The sequence below is a fragment of the Homo sapiens genome, chromosome 15, assembly GCF_000001405.40.
Source record: "Homo sapiens chromosome 15, GRCh38.p14 Primary Assembly".
NCBI lineage: Eukaryota > Metazoa > Chordata > Mammalia > Primates > Hominidae > Homo > Homo sapiens.
Window position 1 is genome coordinate 56,810,061 of NC_000015.10, and position 4,608 is coordinate 56,814,668.

General features: G+C 43.2%; 1 annotated feature.

Annotated features, from left to right (window-relative positions):
* Positions 4,064-4,233: an enhancer, noted in NCBI's record as "experimental_40379 CRE fragment used in MPRA reporter constructs". NCBI's record gives its function as "activates a minimal promoter by MPRAs in K562 erythroleukemia cells, with activity observed for both the introgressed and non-introgressed 15:57106407 variant alleles {active_cell/tissue: K562}" and the evidence as "EXISTENCE:reporter gene assay evidence [ECO:0000049][PMID:34662402]".

Below are 4,608 nucleotides of genomic sequence, written 5' to 3' on the forward strand. Positions count from 1 at the left end.
CAAGGTGTTAACAGGGTTGGATCATTCTGAGGGATGTCTTCCACACCTTGCCTTTCCTTTCTGGTGGTTTGCTGACAATCTTGGCATTCCTTGGCTTGTAGGAGCATCACTTCACTGTTTGCCTTATCTTCACATAGTGTTCTCACTGTGTGCATCTTGCTGTATCCAAATTTCCCCTTTTTGTAAGGATGCCAGTCATATGGGATTGGGGTCCTCTCTAATAACCTCATCTTAACTAATTACATCTGCAATGACTGTTTCCAGATAAAATTACATTCTGATATAGTGGGGTTAGCACTTTAACATATGAATTTAGGGTAGACACAATTAAACCTATGACACTGACCTAAGGATAGAGGCAGGAGGCGGAGAACTATCCTAGACAGATAGGAGAGGGTCCCCAGAGAACCTCTGACCCACCAAGGTTATTGTGCACAGGGGGCTTGACTAAATATGCCCACGGTGAAAAATTCTGTCCCTTAGCACATGTGCGGTAAGGGAAATAAATCAATGTGGCGGGACTCAGGCTAAGGGCCCCGCAAGTACACTGGAAGGATGGCGTGGAGTCACCAGGAATTCACACCTTACAAAAATGGGGAACTGATATGGTTTGGCTGTGTCCCCACCCAAATCTCATCTTGGGTTCCCACATGTTGTGGGAGGGACCCGGTGGGAGGTGATTGAATCATGGGGGCGGGTCTTTCCTGTGCTGTTCTTGTGATAGTGAATAAGTCTCACAAGATCTGATGATTTTAAAAGGGGGAATTTCCCTGCACAAGTGCTCTTCTTTTGTCTGCTGCCATGTGAGATGTGCCTTTCACCTTCCGCCATGATTGTGAGGCCTCCCCAGCCACATGGACCTATAAGTCCAATAAACCTCTTTCTTTTGTAAATTGCCAAGTCTTGGGTATGTCTTTATCGGCAGTATGAAAATGGACTAATACAGGAACCCAGCCCCATCAGCAGATATATAGAAGCCCTTGTATTCAACTTTGAAGGGGGCCAACTGGCAACCTGCTTTCAGGACCCCTCTTTTTGCTGAGAGCTTTCCTTTTTGCCTAATAAATTACACTCCACTCACTCTTTGATGTCTGTGTGACTAATGTTTCCTGGTTGTGAGACAAGAACCCAGATCTAGCTAAGCCTTAAGGAGTGAAAAATCATGCATCACTAAGACATAAGAGTATCTACTCTATGCCCAGGTGCAGTGCCTCACGCCTGTAATCCCAACACTTTGGGAGGCTGAGGCAGGTGGATCACCTGAAGTCAGGAGTTCAAGACCAGCCTGGCCAACATGGTGAAACCCCATCTCTACTAAAAATACAAAAATTTGCTGGGCATGGTGGCACAAGCTTGTAATCTCACCTTCTCGGGAGTCTAAGACAGGAGAATCACTTTAACCCAGGAGGCGGAGGTTGCAGTGAGTCAAGATCATGCCACTGCACTCCAGCCTGGGTGACAGAGCGAGACTCAGTCTCAAAAAAAAAAAAAAAAAAAAAAACAAAAACAAGAGTATCTACGTTACGCTATTTATTAAAAAGATTATCTGAAATAATACATAGTTCCTGGCACCTAGCAAATGATTAATAAATGTTAGCCATCATCATTTATCTTTGGATCCAGACAGACTAGCACAGTGCTTAGCACATAGCAAATATTGACCATCTTTGGGTTTTGCCTGCCTGGCATTCACTCCATCTTTTTCTGGTAAAAACACCTTGAAACAATCTTTTTGCTAGTCTTGGTGAGGCAATCATTCAAAATGTCCTGCCCTGCCCTCAAGAGGTGAGTATATGTGTGACCCAAGAATGCCATTCAGACTCTGTCTCCTAAAAATTAAATCTCGAGCAGAGTAACGTAGAGATAGAAAATGACAGAGATCATTTATCCCGCTAACAGTGCCACGAAAAGAGACTGACCTTTAGTTCCTACTATCTGGATACTTAGAGCTGTTTTGACTCCTGGCCTTTTCACAGCCTGGTGCTTACTTAGCATTTCTTTTAATTATTTGTGCCAGTCCACATCCTTGAGCACATTTCTTGTTTAGCTTAAGATAGTCAGAGTGAGTTTCTTTTGTTTGCGCAGAAACAGAAATAGACTGAAGTAGAAATTGATTCCTGGACATAACAGTTACAACTGACACTTAGAATGACAATGTGAAGTTGGAAGGGTCATGGTGAGGCAGGAGACAGTGTGGACCTCCGTTTCTCTGGCTGGGAAATGCCTATCTTCAAAAGCATGTTGTATCTGGAAACTCAGGCAATGTGTCTGTCCAGCTGGAGATTTGGGAGAGTCAGTAGAAAAACGTCAGCTCGTTGGATTAGGTTGGATACTTTTTTTTAGCCCAAGATAAGTTACTACAAGTAAGAGACAACTGGGTCATCAGAAAGCAGAGAGAGAGAGAACAGAAACTGCTAAGGGAAGCCCTTTCTAATTGTGGCCTGTGATCAAAGAGGGATAGTAGTCAGATAATCTTAAGCTGAATTCTCTCCCCTGAGTTAAAGTTAGTGGAAGTAATGTCTTAAGATTCTGAAAACTTAAGAGGAGCTAAAAAAAAGTCTCCCGGAAAAGCTCTACTAAGCACCTCCTTCTGGGCCTTCCTTGACGGATGAGGCTTCACTTAGTCCCCAATTTACAGCCCAACCACTGAAATACATGGGATGTTGGAGCTGAGATTGGTTTTATCTCTTTCGACTCAGGCTATTGCTTGTCATTGCCCCCAGGAAATGTTAAAATTGAAGGCTTTGTGGCTGAGAGCTGGAGGGAAGGGCAGAGCTCTAAGGCCTGTTGCTATGAGAGAGGACATCCTACCATTGGATGTGCATGGAGGGCCTACTAGGTTTCTAAGAAAATTGTTATTTCTGGATAAACACTTAACCAACCTAAGGTAATCTCCAGGCCCCTGAACTCTTCTCAATAGAAAATTAGGTTCTAAATTAGTTTAACCCTCACAAGTGATCCTCTCCACTGTCCTTTTCAGAGGTGACCACAGTGGATACTGGACATTGGCTCTTCTCCCAGAGGAGAAAACCAGAATCAACTACTTTTGCTGACCAATATATCCACTCTGTCACTGGAGCAGACAGCACTTTTTATTCCTGAGAAGCAGGATGTGACAAATTCTGTTTGCCAATGACCACTCTAAGCTGTTTCTTCCCCTTCCCTTTTCCATGTGAGTTTTTTTTTTCTTTAATTAAGATAACCTGACCTATTTCTACCATTGTAGATCAGGTTAAATTTATCATTTAACCTCAGTTTGCCAATACACAAGGAGCTATTCTGGGCCAACCTGAGAATAATGCATGTTGCTGAGAGGTGGATGCAGTAACTGGCCTAGCACTTGGGGAAGGAGGGAGTTTTGAGAGGTATGTAAAAGAGTTGCACTATTGCAGGTGATAACAATTATGATGATGCTGCATGTATGAGAAGGAGAGTGTGTGTATGGATATCAAACAGCTTGGGAGATTATAGTGGACAATAATTGTTTTCACCTGCCAGTATCCCAAGTTTCCTTTATAAAAACTTTCTTCCGCGATGCTTGAGCCAGACAGTTCTAGAAGGGCTGAACCTATACCTCTACAGCTTGGTTGGCATGTAACCCAAAATTGTGTGTAAATTTATTCCATCTTCTCGGCTCAGTGAATGATTTAGGAAAGCTTACGTGATCCAAGTCAGATCAATAGAGTCAGCCACAGAGTTCTGAAGGAATGATTGGGAAAGACACATTCTTTCCAAGGGATTGCTTGGCTGGTAGAACGTAAGTTTACAGCTCTCAGGGCCTAACCTGCCACCAGGGAGAGAATGCCTGAAAATGAAGCTCGGGGAAAGGAAAGCAAAGTAAGAACAAGAGTAAGAAAGAGAATGAGAGCCAATAAATATCCTTTTTGCTTAGCCATTTGGAGTAGGTGTAGTCTATTTTGTCTGGAGCTCAGCACCTGTGAACACTCTCCTTTTGGTTAGGAAGTTTCTTTCCTCCCCAAATTAGATATCAGAAATTATGCTTTCTTCACCCCCCTTGTAGCTAGCTGGGCACAAGCATGTGACTCAGGCCCCATCAGACATCCTTGTGAAATTTCTTTGAGATGAGAGCAATGTGAGAAAGTAATGCCACATGGAATCCATTTCTGCCAGTGAGAGTGACACCACTGCCACTTGGCCTTCAGAGGTGGCATTGTTGAGTTCCTATAACAGGGCTGGCAGTAGTGCTTGTGTCAGTAAAGTTCCTGCTGGCGGTGCAAAATGTAGCATTGAATGCTGGGAGGTGAAGGCAGTAGCAGTGTCTTCAGGCTAGTCCTGACAACTGTTTGTGGTGGTATCCTGGAAGTTCATCCTTGAGCCTGGCTCTCTAGCCCTCCTGGCAATTCTGCGACCTACCAAATATCCTTTAATAGTTTTCTTTTTGGCTTAATCAACCAATTAGTTTTTGTCACTTTCAACTAAAACTTCTGGTACTAAGGTAAAAATCAGTAAAAATTTGATAGAGATATAAATCAATGAATGAATGGCAATTCTGTGAGGTATATATTATACTTCCATTGTACAGAGGAAAAATTGGCTGAGTAATATTGGACCTTGCATCCTGTCCAAGGTCACGCAGCTAATAAATCC